Source organism: Homo sapiens, chromosome 1, assembly GCF_000001405.40.
Source record: "Homo sapiens chromosome 1, GRCh38.p14 Primary Assembly".
NCBI lineage: Eukaryota > Metazoa > Chordata > Mammalia > Primates > Hominidae > Homo > Homo sapiens.
This window is the reverse complement of record NC_000001.11, coordinates 118,807,312-118,820,721: the sequence shown is the minus strand read 5'-3', so window position 1 is coordinate 118,820,721 and position 13,410 is coordinate 118,807,312. Positions and strand designations below refer to the sequence as shown.

General features: G+C 38.6%; 1 long non-coding RNA gene across 1 annotated transcript in view; it reads left to right on the top strand.

The window, feature by feature from the left end:
- The window catches only part of LOC107985447 (uncharacterized), a 58,364-nt gene extending 45,581 nt beyond the window's left edge, over window positions 1-12,783 (top strand). Inside the window, exons 2-3 of the long non-coding RNA XR_001737805.1 lie at window positions 11,761-11,871; window positions 12,704-12,783. This is a non-coding gene — a long non-coding RNA (uncharacterized LOC107985447). The remainder of the gene's footprint in view (window positions 1-11,760; window positions 11,872-12,703) is intronic.
- Window positions 12,784-13,410: the final 627 nt, after the last annotated feature.

Sequence of the window (13,410 nt, the reverse complement as noted above, 5' to 3'; positions counted from 1 at the left end):
TTTTTAAAAAATATTTTTTACTAATTTTTATTGGTTGCTCTAAGAAGTACAGTATGCCTCTTTTAAAATACCAACTTTCAAATTACAACTGCAGATTTGTCACATGGAAATATCGCATGATGCTGAAGTTTGGAGTGCAGATCCCATCACCCAGGTGGTGCGCATAGTACCTCGTAGGTAGTTTTTTTTTAATCTCCCACGCAGTAGTCCACGGTGTCTATTGTTCTCATATTTCTGTTCATGTGTGCTCAATGTTTAGCTCTGACTTATAACTGAGAACATGTGATGCTTGGCTTTTGTTCCTGTGTTGTTTAGGATTATGGCCTCCAGCTCCATCCATGTTGCTGCAAAGGACGTGATTTCATTGTTTTATGGCTGCATAGTATTCCATGGTGTACATGTACCATATTTTCTTTATTCAATCTACCATTGATAGGCACCTGGGTTGAATACATGTCTTTGCTATTGCGAATAGTGCAGCAGTGAACATATGAGTGCATGTGTCTTTTTGGTAGAATGATTTATTTTCTTTTGGGTATATACCTAGTAATGGGATTGTTGGGTTGAATGGTAGCTCTGTTTCAAGTTCTTTGAGAAATCTTCTTCAGATTGCTTTCCACGGTGGCTGGACTAAGTTACATTCCCATCAACAATGTATAAGTACTTCCTTTTTTCTGCAGGTTTGCCAAAGTCTGTTATTTTTTGACTTCTTAATAATGCCATTTTGACTGGTGGGAGATGGTATCTTATTGTGATTTTGATTTGCATTTCCCTCATGATTAATGATGCTGAGCATTTTTTTCATATGTTTGTTGGCCACATGTACGCTTTCTTTTGAGAAGTGTCTGTTCATGTCTTTTGCCTTTTTTTTTTGTTGTTGTTGTTTTTGAGATGGAGTCTCACTCTGTCGCCCAGGCTGGAGTGCAGTGGCGCGATCTTGGCTCACTGCAAGCTCTGCCTCTCAGGTTCACATCATTCTCCTGCCTCAGCCTCCCGAGTAGCTGGGACTACAGGCCCCCACCACCATGTCCGGCTGATTTTTTTTGTATTTTTTTGTATTTTTTAGTAGAGACAGGGTTTCACTGTGTTAGCCAGGATGGTCTCCATCTCCTGACCTCGTGATCCATCCGCCTCAGCCTCCCAAAGTGCTGGGATTACAGGTGTGAGCCATTGCACCTGGACTCTTTTGCCCATATTTTCATTGGGTTATTTGTTTTTTGCTCATTGATTTGTTTAAGTTGTCTATACATTCTGGGTATTAGGCCTTTGTTGGATGCATAATTTGCAAATATCTTCTCCTGTTCTGTCTGTTTGCTCTGTTCATAGTTTCTTTTGCTGTGCAGAAGCTCTTTAGTTTAATTAGGCCCCACTTGTCTATTTTTGTTTTTGTTGCAATTGCTTTTGGGGACTTAGGCAAAAATTCTTCACCAAGGCTGATGTTGAGAAGAGTATTTCCTAGGTTGCCTTCCAGTATTTTTATAGTTTGAGATCTTACATTTAAATATTTAATTTAGTTTGAGTTAGTTTTTATATATGGTAAGAGGTAGGAGTCTGGTTTCAATCTTCTGGATATGCCGAGCTATTAATAGTTTTCCGAGCACCATTTATTGATAAGGAGTCCTTTCCCCATTGCTTGTTTTTGTCAGCCTTATGGATGATCAGATGGTTGTAGGTATGTGGCTTTACTTCTGATTTTTCTATTCTGTTCCATTGGTCTATTTGTCTGTTTTTGTACCAGTACCAAGCTGTTTTGGTTATTGTGGCTCTATAGTATAGTTTGAATTCAGGTAGTGTGGTGCTTAGGACTTCTTTGGCTATTCAGGCTCCCTTTTGGTCCCATATGAATTTTAGAATTTTTTTTCTAATTCTGTAAAGAATGATGTTGGTAGTTTGATAGGAATAGCATTGAATCTGTAATTTTTTGCACAAATTTCTAAATCTCAGATAATCTTTGCAGAAGTAGGTGCCTCATCCTCTAGAAATTTCACAATTTCCAGAGAGGTCTTTCCTTATCTTCCTTTATGGGAAAAGAGTAATTCTTTCTATTGACAGATGTCTGTGTGATCTAATAAACACTTGAAGCTGGAACCATAAGGAAAAGATTTGTTTTTAAAAAGGCAAAGTTTTTAAAAAGGCAGAGTTTAATCTTGAGGTAAACTTAAAAAAATAAGATGTTGATATATACTCCAACCTCAAACAATCATAAAGCAGTTATCTTTATACCTTTCTGGGTGTTGAGTTGTGTTATTCCCTTAAAATGTGAGAATGGATGTCCACACAATCAAAATATATAACTTGGGACCAGAGGGCATTTTTGGCCAAATCACCTGTTGTAGGAAGAATACTCATACTTAGTATAAACATTTACACCTCGATGTTCATGCAGAGATAATTTGATTTAAGTGAAGTGATCCACATAAGGTTATAAACAAGGTGAGGTCCAGAGCAGATCCTTTTTTACTATGTTTTTTATTATGTATGCTCTCCTTTAGACCCACGACTCCTGTAGTATTGTTTTGAGAGGCCTCCAGGTAACCTAAAAGTTGGTCTTAGGTAGCATTTATGCGTTTTTATAATATAACTTTTGATGCTACTATTCTGAATCTCCAAATAGAGATTTATTTCTAATGATTAATAAAAACCTAAGCATTTTATCTGAGTTACACTAGAGAGAAGACTCTACATTTTCTTGTAATTTTTTTTTTCAGCAGTACAGTGTAGCCAGCAGGTCTTATCTGGCTAATGATCAGAATTATTGAGGCAGACCAAAGTGCCCTTTTATGGCATCTAAACTTAAAAATTAATTTTGCTTTTCATAGGCTTACTGAATAATGTCTCATTGTAATTCCTAAGATATGTAAGTATTCCTAGATATTTAAAAAACCATATTGGGTGCATCAAACAATGGGAAGCATTATGGAGAAGCTATCTCACGTATTCTTATTTATTTCGTGATATCCAACATGGACATCTTACAAACGTAAGACAATTTTGCTTCCAAGCATTCTCCCTTTGAAGATTATTTATCAATTGTCCCTTTGGGTGAGACACTGCTGTCTCATCCCCATTACCTTGTCAAGTCCTAAAGGATGTTAGCAGACCTCAGAGAAGGTGAATTTCCCCTTTCTTCTAGAATAGATATGTCTAGGCAACATCAAAGCAAGCTGACTAAAAAAAGCTTTAATCAACTGAACATGTCTTTTTGGTATCTAATGCTTTGTTGAATCTGTTTCTGTCTTTTTCCCTCTCCATTTCATTTAGCTGACAGGTGTGGCCATTTAGAAGAATGTTTAAGCTTCAAATTCAACGAAACCCATGTTTTTAAATTAGGAACTATGTATATTTCTACCCTGAAAGATCTCAAAGCACTTTAAAATTTTCTCTGTGCTCAAGCACAAACTCACTATTGGGATCATTTTACCTTCCACTACGTGTCTATATTAGAGGTGGAATGCGGCAGCTGTTTAACCCTGAGAGGCTTCCCAGAACTTGAAGACAGGGAATGAAGAATTATGTATTCTATTCCTTCTATGGTTTCAAGAGGCAGAACTAGAATCTAGTGTGACCAGATTAGAATCTGCCAAGCCTTCTCAATTACTCAATCAGTAGGAGTTGAATAAATGCAGATGGTTAAGGTCTTATATTCAGGGCCTTGTTTCATACATTGGTAAGGGATGGTAGCTTCTTACATTGATTCTCACTGAGGAAGTATGTGGGTTGAGAAACAATTTAGAGGCAAATTCCATTTTGTCAGGATGCAGAAAAAGGCTAATTGGTGAAAGGTGGCAGAAAGAGTGCAGGGTTGTGAATACAAAGACTTGGGAGTCCTTCATCATGTATGAAGATAAAGTGATGTAGATGAACTCCAGGTAATTGAGTATCTTCCATATATATGGAAAAACCCTAATTAAATGAGAACTGGGCCCTAGAACCTTTCTTCAAACAAACTTTATGGTCTTTTCCCTCCTTATTTGAAAAGTAATACATTATTCTAGTTAAAATTTTTGAAAATATTAAAAACATATGACTCTTTATCCCATTATCTATAGTTAATTGTTATTATTTTTTTGTGTGAATTTCCTTGTAAGGTTTTATCTGCATATAAAAAATATAAGGAAAGGAGGAAGTCCTCAGTATTCATGACCTACCCAGGCACAAAGAAACAGAATGTGACTGGGGTTATGAGGCTCATCATCATCATCCAAATATAATATTTTCTTCAGAAGAAGAGAGGTTTAGGAGCTAGAACATATTATTGATGATAATAATTTACAGTAAATTATCTGGAGAATGTTCTCAGTTCTTCAATTTCCTGAAATAGATCTGCCTTATGATTGTGTAAATATTTGTAGAACACGGCTTGGTTGAGACAAAAACAAGACAGGAATATTCTGAAACTCTGAAACTTTGGGGAAATTATAATTTTATTTAGTGTAAATAAACATTCATATATTTATAAAACCTTCTGACACATCACTCTCTTATCCTCGTTTCCTTTTTGGCTTTTTGTGCTTTTGGAAGGGAGGGTAGTGAACTTTTACATAATTATGAAACCTCTGACGCATCACTCTTTTACCCTCATTTCCTTTTTGACTTTGTACTTTTGGAAAGGAAAGTGGTGAGGAATCAAAGGTTTTGTGAAATAGCACCAGTTTAGAAGGGGGTCCAAGTTAAAGCTAAGTGTTTTTTGTCACTTTATTCAGCCTTTATCTGCCCTGTTGGTTCTGTTCATCTGTGGAATACATGGTGGATGGCCTATGGACATTTCCACCATTTTACTTACAGTGGATTTAGCTATAATGATCCTAATGAATCAGGAAGACAACAGATATAATGTACTGATGACAGCTCATGGTAATTATAAAACCTCAGAGATGCCCCTACGGATCTCATTTTATCAGATGCTTTCTATGCTAAACTAAATCAAGACGTTCCCTCATCATTTCAGGTGCTAGTTAATGTGCTAAATGGTGTGGAATTTTATGACCATAAAAGGTCAAGTTTCAAGAGTTTTATTTTTAATGAAAATTTCCTGGCATCTAAAATGTGAGGTCCAATCATACTGAATTCATTGGCAACCAGACCTGCTTAAAAGTGAAACCCCACTTCCCCAGGGCTTTCAAGTCAGAGAGGAGAAAGTCCCCTCAGGTTGCTCCTACTCTTGCCAGGTTTCAGTTATAACAGAGAATCTTTTCACAAAAGGTAGTCAATTTATATTTCAAGCATTTGAAAGCATATTTCATTGGCTCATCTGGACACTGGAAAATCTTATGTCTCTTCCTGAGTGATTTGGCGCATTACTTTGGCACACAGCAAGAACTCGCACACCTGGCAAATCATCTCAACTTTTTTGATGCTCAGAAGGAGGCTTCAAAACTAGAAGCATTTTGGATGGTGAGCTATGCTCATTGTGCCCAAATCCAAAGAATGTGAAAACAACTATTTATATTCAGAGATGGGAAGTGGGAACAGAGAACAAGGGCAGGGGGCGGGAAAGAAGACACAGTTTCAAATGAGAAAAGAAAAAGAAATATGGATGTATTATTTGATCAAAACTTATTTATTTATTAAATATATATTTTTATATATATATATATTTGAGACAGGGTCTCACTCTGTTGCCCAGGCTAGATTGCAGTGGGCGATCATGGCTCACTGTAGCCTCGACCTCCCCAGGCTCAGGTGATCTTCCCACCTTAGCCTCCCGAGTAGCTGCGATTATAGGCATGTGTCACCTCATCCTGCTAATTTTTGTATTTTTAGTAAAAACAGGTTTCACCCTGTTGGCCAGGCTGACTTCGAACTCCTGACCTACTGACAAGCAACCTGTCTGTCTCAGCCTCCTAAAGTTCTGGGATTATAGGTATGAGACACTATACCCATCCTGATCAAAATTTAATAAAGCCATGAACATATTCCAATGAGTGTATTATTGATTTTATTAATGTTCTGTCTCAGATACTCAGTCATCCTCTTTGTGACTAACTTGAAATTAGGTTTCTCATAAAGCCAGAGAGTAATGCAATTCTAATCTAACATCGAACAAAAGGTTCTTTCGGCAGGCTTACAATTTTGTAAACACAGGCAAAGGAACCAGTGTTTCCTCTAGTGGGATCACAATTCTGTAAACACAAGCAAGATCTGTGTCTTGATCTGTAACTGTGTTACAGTTGCATCTGTTACTTGTGACTCAGTTGTTTTACAAGAGCCAGAGGACTTGAAGTGTAGGGAGCTGGAGACCTCTCTTAGACACACAGGCTCAATGTACTAAAACAGTATCCAAGGACATCATTCAAGTTCCATGGTAATGATTCTTTATGACATATGAAAAGCATGCAGTATAGTGCCTGGCACATAGTAGAGACTCAGTAATATTTGTTTCCCTATACTCATCACTGAAATGGGATTCAGCACTAGGAGTAACTTGGGACTTCAGCACTAGGAATACGTTCTTTCTTTGCCAGATCTTGATTATTATTATTATTATTTTTGAGACGGAGTCTCACTCTTGTTGTTCAGGCTGGAGTGCAATGGTGCAATCTTGGCTCACTGCAACCTCTGTCTCCTGAGTTCAAGCAATTCTCCTGACTCAGCCTCCCAAGTAGCTGGGATTACAGGCGCCCACCACCACACCCGTCTAATTTTTGTATTTTTAGTAGAGATGGGGTTTCACCATGTTGGTCAGGCTGATCTTGAACTCCTGACCTCGGGTATTCCACCCGCCTCGGCCTCCCAAAGTGCTGGGATTACAGACATGAGCCGCCATGCCCAGCCCAGATCTTGATTATTGAACTGCAACTACTGGAGGTTCCATATTGGATGTATCTATGTATCAGTATGAATAACAGAATTCAGAAGTCACTCTATTATTTGTTGAAAGAAAGAATGGACTAATACATAAATGCACAAATGATTAAAATCAGGGTTTGAATGGGGGCATAGTAAAGGCTAGTAGGTGTTTTTTCCTGAGCTCTCGTTTCTCTTGCACACGTTTTAATTTTGTTCTGTACTTGGAGATAGAAGAACGCCGGACTTAACTGTGGGGATCAGTAGGGACTAGAGGGAGTTTGAGAAGGGAGGAGGGGGTAAATGGGTGTCTGAAAATCGGGGCCAGCTGGTAAGAAGATGAGACAGAGTGCTGGGAATCCAGAGGAATCTGGAATATAGTGCTGGATTTAGGGTTTGGAAAAACTTATAGGATTGAATTCAGGTCACAGATGGGTGGCGGGGAGAATCATAATACAGTTCATTGACTCATTTATTATTTATCCACATTTATTCATTCCACAAATATTGAGCTTCTACTATATGATAGGCACCTTATTGCTTACCAAGATACAACAGTGAACATGACAGACACAGCTCATTAAAGTCTAATCGAAGGAGAGGGCGAAGGTCACTATTTTAAACCTGCATCAAGTTCTGCATTCTGTAGTGTCTTGCTAGAGACAAATACATCACAAGTTTTGTCTCATTTGTGAAGGGCTCCACTAAAAAGAACACTTTTACTTATGCTGGTACTCTGATTAGGAACTTTTTCTAACGTGTGTGTGTGTAGAATTTCTAATTGCACCAATGAACTTTCCTCTAAATTCAAAATATGAAACATTTGATTGCATGGTATAGTATGTGAGCATAATGGTCCCTAGAAGCACTCATTGGTAATGAAAAAATGGTATCTTGTGGCCATGACTGACCGAGGGAATTAAAGATGGTGGCAGTTTTTCTTTTCTAGCAGAAAGAGGGAATGTGTTAGCAGAGTTGGTTCTGGAAGGAAAATGGCAAAGGAATTAGGTATTAAAATATCCACATTTTTGGAAATTATAGCCTGTGATCTATGTATCTTGGGTCATAATCAATTTGAGTAAGGATTATTTCCTCGGAATGGTTTTCAGGTATTTGAGAGTGATATTGAGCAATATTTGGTACAACCAAATTGCAAAATCCTGGAAGCAATGGGACATCCCTTTATGCTTCTGGAAGCTCGTTGTCACGAGATTTGACCTAAAACTTTTTACACAGCCAGCTCTTAGTCATTTGTGGGAATACAGGCCAAGATTGGTATACTTTTTTTCTGCCCGTTTGTAACAATTCCAGATAGTGTAAATGATCAGCAGAAGTTCTGTTGCAGTAATTCATTTCTGGTTCAAGTGTAGTTTATGACTGTACCTCCACAGGTCTCCATGCCGTCTCCTCTTTCTTTGTGCTTCTCCTATTGATACTGCCTTAGGTAAGAGCTGTTAAAGGTATAACAGCAGAGTGGCATGTGAGGAGAGACCATTCATCAATAGGCAAAAATAAGTCTTAGTTGACTAACTATAGACTTTAATCACTTGTCTAAAATTACATTTCTTTAAATTACTGGTTTCTAACTGCACTCTATTTTAGCATCCATTTCTAGTCTTTGACTACTATAACTTTCGTTTTATTTATTTACTGTTTTTTAAAGAGAGGGTCTCATTCTGTTACCCAGGCTGGGGTGTAGTGGCATGATCATGGCTCACTGCAGCCTCAATCTCTCAGCCTCAAGTGATCCTTCTGCCTTGGCCTCCCAAGTAGCTGGGACCACAGGCATGCACCACCATGCCCAGCTAATTCTTAAAAATTTTTCATAGTGATGATATGTCAACATGTTGCCCAGGCTGGCTTCAAACTCCTGGGTTCAAGCAATCCTCTTGTCTCAGCTTCCCAAAGTGGTGAGATTAGAGATGGGAGCCACCACGCCTGGCCTGGCTACGCTACTATATCTTATTTTCTATAATTCTGTCTTTGAACTGTTACAGAACAAGTGTGGGTCCGGGAAAAATGATAATGTCAGTGATTTAACTTTCACTTCTTTGGAAGCCTCTCCCATATTTTTTGTAAGGTTCTTTTCACTTTCTTTTTGTTGCCCAACGTCTCTGAAAGCTTCTTCTCAGAACAATATCTGTCACAAATTATTCATATCTTGATGTAAATTTAGATCAGTATGTTACATTTCTTTGGGATGTTTCCACTTTAAGATTTTCCTATAAATATGTAATAGCATTTTTTTTCCTGTTTCTAGAGGAATTTAAGCTTTATTGCCCCAGGAGCAGGACTAATATTTTACTGGGTAAGAGCCTTCCCTTATGTCCCTATTATTCCACCAGGCCACCCTTAGGTTAAAGGCTGGCTCCTCCCATAAACTGTACTTCAATTGCCCATCTTGGATGCAGACTGAAAGTCTCAATTCACTTTGACTTAGGCTCTATAGAAGCCAAGGAGAGGCCAGTATTTATCTCTGTAATGAGACAAAGGGCCTTTGAGAGAAGGATTTGTAAAAAACTGGCTGGATATGGCCCATCTTCTTTGTTTGTATGATAGCTAGCCTCCAAGATGACCCCCAATGATTCATATCTCCTAGAATTCACACTGTTGTGTAGTGTTCCTCCACTTTGAATCTGTGTGACCAATAAAATATGGTGGGAATCACAGTATGTGACTCTTGAGGCTGAGTCATTAAAGGCATTGTAGCTTCCATCTTTATGTCTTAGATCCTCTACTCAGGGGGATGCTAGCTGCCATGCCGTAACACATACTCAAGGAGCTCCATGGAGGTGCTAAGGCAGAGGTTTCCACCAATACCCAAAACCAACTGGACAACCATGCAATTGTGCCACTTAGGAAGTGGCCCAGCCCTTATCAATCTTTACTTGATTGCAGCTACAGCTGACATCTGACTGCATTCTTCTTTCATAAGAAATCCCAAGTGAGAATATCCAGCTAACTTATCCTCAAATTCTTGACCCACAAAAAGCATGAGACATGATAAATTATTATTGTTATTTTAAACGACTAGTTTGGAGTAATTTGTTACTTGGCACCATCTCTCAGCTTTCCAGCACTAATCGCCGACTCTGGAAATCTTTACATAAAATGCTGGCAACAAATTTGCTCCAAAGTGAATTGTAATTTTTTTCTAACAAGATAGGGTGATTCAACTGAAGGCAATTTAACCAAATACAATTTCATATGAAGCAAGCTGACCAATATAATCATGTGTTGGAGTATGAATAGCCTGTCTCTAGTTTCATGACATTTTTAATTTTGGTACATCACGGAAAGTTGTTTTGTAACCCCTATGAATCTTCAGGAATTTTTTTCTGCCTTTTAGGATTTGGGAAGTTTCTACTTTTATTTTACTTTTATATATCCATTTCTCCAGTGACTAGGATATATTTTGACCAAATTGTTGTTGGACCACTCTATTTCCACAAAATTGCTTTCAGTCAGATTTTTTTTGGCTAAATCATCCATCATATTGTAATACTTTCTATATGTTACCTCTAATTGATCCATAAAACTTTAAGAAACAAATTCTATAAATTCACACAAAACAAACCCTTTAATTAAAGTGAATCAATGATAAATAATGTAATAGATGGCCTCTAAGACCATCTTAATGATCCCAAGTATTCATACTTTTGAATAATCCTCCATCCTTAAATGTGGCTTGGACTAATTGATCCACTTTTGCTGAACAGAATATGGCAGAAGTGTTCAGATATAACTTCTACGTTACATACTTTTAAAAATAACCTTCTAAGATTAGGTTATAAAAATAATGTGACTTTTATTTTGGGAATATTCTGTTGCTCTCTTTTGGATTGCCCACCCTTGGGAAAGCCATCTGCAATGTTACCAGACAGCCTTGTGGAACCCTCACTATAAAGATCATGTAGAAATTAGGTCGGGACTAGAAAGAAGACTCAGTAGTTGGACTAGTAATAGTTTTTCTGTTTTAATAACAACAGACTCCCAAAACAATGAGGCCAGATCTCTCTGAGGGTTGTTGGACAGCCTCAGCATTTGCTGAGTTCTAAATTGCCCAGTGTTTTCACTGAGTTAGCAGACAGTGGTCCTAGCAGAATCCTTGGTATGAGGAATTGTATCCTGCCAATGACCGCATGAATGCGTTTGGAAATAGACCTCCCTCAGTCAAGTGTTCAGATAAGACTGTAGCCCCGGCCCATAGCGTGACTGCAGTTTCATGAGACAATCTGAGCCACACATACCCATCTAAGCTGTGTCTGGATTTCTGATTCAGAGAAACTATAAAATGATAAATGTTAGTCATTTTAAGCCTCTATTTTTGGAGTAAGTTGTTACACAGTAATAGAAAACTAATAGAGGGGACAAGAGCATTGAATTCAAAATGTGTTCTAAAAGATGGATTTAGATTCTTTGCTTTATATCTTTTGTAAAATCAAGTCTTACTCCTGACCTTTCCTGGTAATTCAGGAAAGCAACTTACTGGGGTTAATTACCAACTCTTCCCTCTTCCTTTCTACCTTTTCCTTGATCCAGTCACCCCCAAACATAAGCATAGGGTTGATCTCTGTTTCCTGCTACAAACCTGTCCTCTCTCCCTCCACCTCCTCCTACTTCCTTTCTTGTTTTTATTCAGAATAATAAAGGGGTAAAGTGATTTGAATTAAAGTGCGACATTAATGCCTCTGAACAAATGCGCTTTGGAGAGAATGTGACAGACTGTCCAGGGGAATGGGCTGGGGCCCTCAGAATCTGGACAAAGATGTGGCTGATTATCACCCAAGATAGCAAGCAGAAGCTGGGTGTTGAGAGTGGGGGCCCAGGTGACAGTTGTGGTTTTTATAGTTTGGCTCTGATGACAGTTTGGGAGGGATCTGTTTCTGGGGCAGGATTTATGTTTGTCCTTAGAATCTGGAATCTTCCTGGTTGCCAGTAAAAGCTGAGCTTGGACTGATTATCTTTCTCTAGAATCACCTCTGCTTCTCATGTCGTGGGTCAACGGTAGGAGTGGTTGCTAAGTGAATGACCTTTGTGTTTCCACTGAACAAATCTTCAAAGAGAAAAAAAATACCTATTCAGGTAATACATCATGATTTCCTTCATAAGCTTCAGAACATATGTCCTGAGAAAAACACCCCCATTGGAAGTTATTGCAAAAATAATAGAGACATTCAGTGGTAGATGATGGAGACATTTGAAAGATACCGACAATGCAGGAACTCACACGGGCAGAGTTTGCTAATGACTTTGCTATTCCTTGGTGGCAATGAAACCTCTAATCCATGACCTGGCCACAGGCAAACTCCAATAAGGTTTTACAACAAGGATCAATGAGATAGAAATTAATAAAAATAAAAAGACTGACCACTTGTCAGGTATCTCTGACTGGGCTTGAGCTGCAAGGACACTGTGTACAGAAGTAGTCTCCTTAAGAGCATTACAAAGATTTGAAGCAAATAGGCCGGGCGCGGTGGCTCACGCCTGTAATCCCAGCACTTTGGGAGCCCGAGGTGGGTGGATCACCAGGTCAGGAGATAGAGACCATCCTGGCTAACACGGTGAAACCCTGTCTCTACTAAAAATACAAAAAAAAATTAGCCGGGTATGGTGGCGGGCGCCTGTAGTCCTAGCTACTCGGGAAACTGAGGTAGGAGAATGGTGTGAACCTGGGAGGTGGAGCTTGCAGTGAGCCGAGATTGTGCCACTGCACTCCAGCCTGGGAGACAGAGTGAGACTCCATCTCAAAAAAAAAAAAAAAAAAAAAAGATTTGAAGCAAATATAAAAAGTTAAGACTTTGGGGAAGAAGAAGTACATCTGTGTGTGTTATATTCATCTCTATAGTTACTTGTGTGATTGAAAAAAAAAGAAGTAATCTTTTTAAGATGGCCTTTTCACTTTCTCTGAATGCAGGAATGAACAGAACACTTTGAAAATGTCACAGGGGACTTGGAACCAACCCAAATGTCCATCAGTGATAGACTGGATTAAGAAAATGTGTCACATATACACCATGGAATACTATGCAGCCATAAAAATTGATGAACTCATGTCCTTTGTAGGAACATGGATGAAGCTGGAAACCGTCATTCTCAGCAAACTATTGCAAGGACAGAAAACCAAACACCACATGTTCTCACTCATAGGTGAGAATTGAACAATGAGAACACTTGGACACAGGAAGGGGAACATCACACACAGGGGCCTGTCGTGGGGTGGGGGGAGGGGGGAGGGGGGAGGGATAGCATTAGGAGATATACCTAATGTAAATGACGAGTTAATGAGTGCAGCACACCAATATGGCACATGTATACATAGGTAATAAACCTGCATGTTGTGCACATGTACCCTAGAACATAAAATATAATAAAAAAAAGAAAAAAATAAAAATAAAAAGTTAAGACTTTGAGGAAGCAGAAGTACATTCGTGTGTGTTATATTCATCTCTATGGTTATTTGTGTGATTAAAAAAAGAAATAATCTCTTTAAGATGGGCTTTTCACTTTCTCTGAATGCAGGAATAGACAGAACACTTTGGAAAATGTCACAGGGCATTACGTTGCAGGGCTGGCCCCATGTGGTTCATTTCTTCCTCCTGCAGCACACTGCACAGTGTCAGA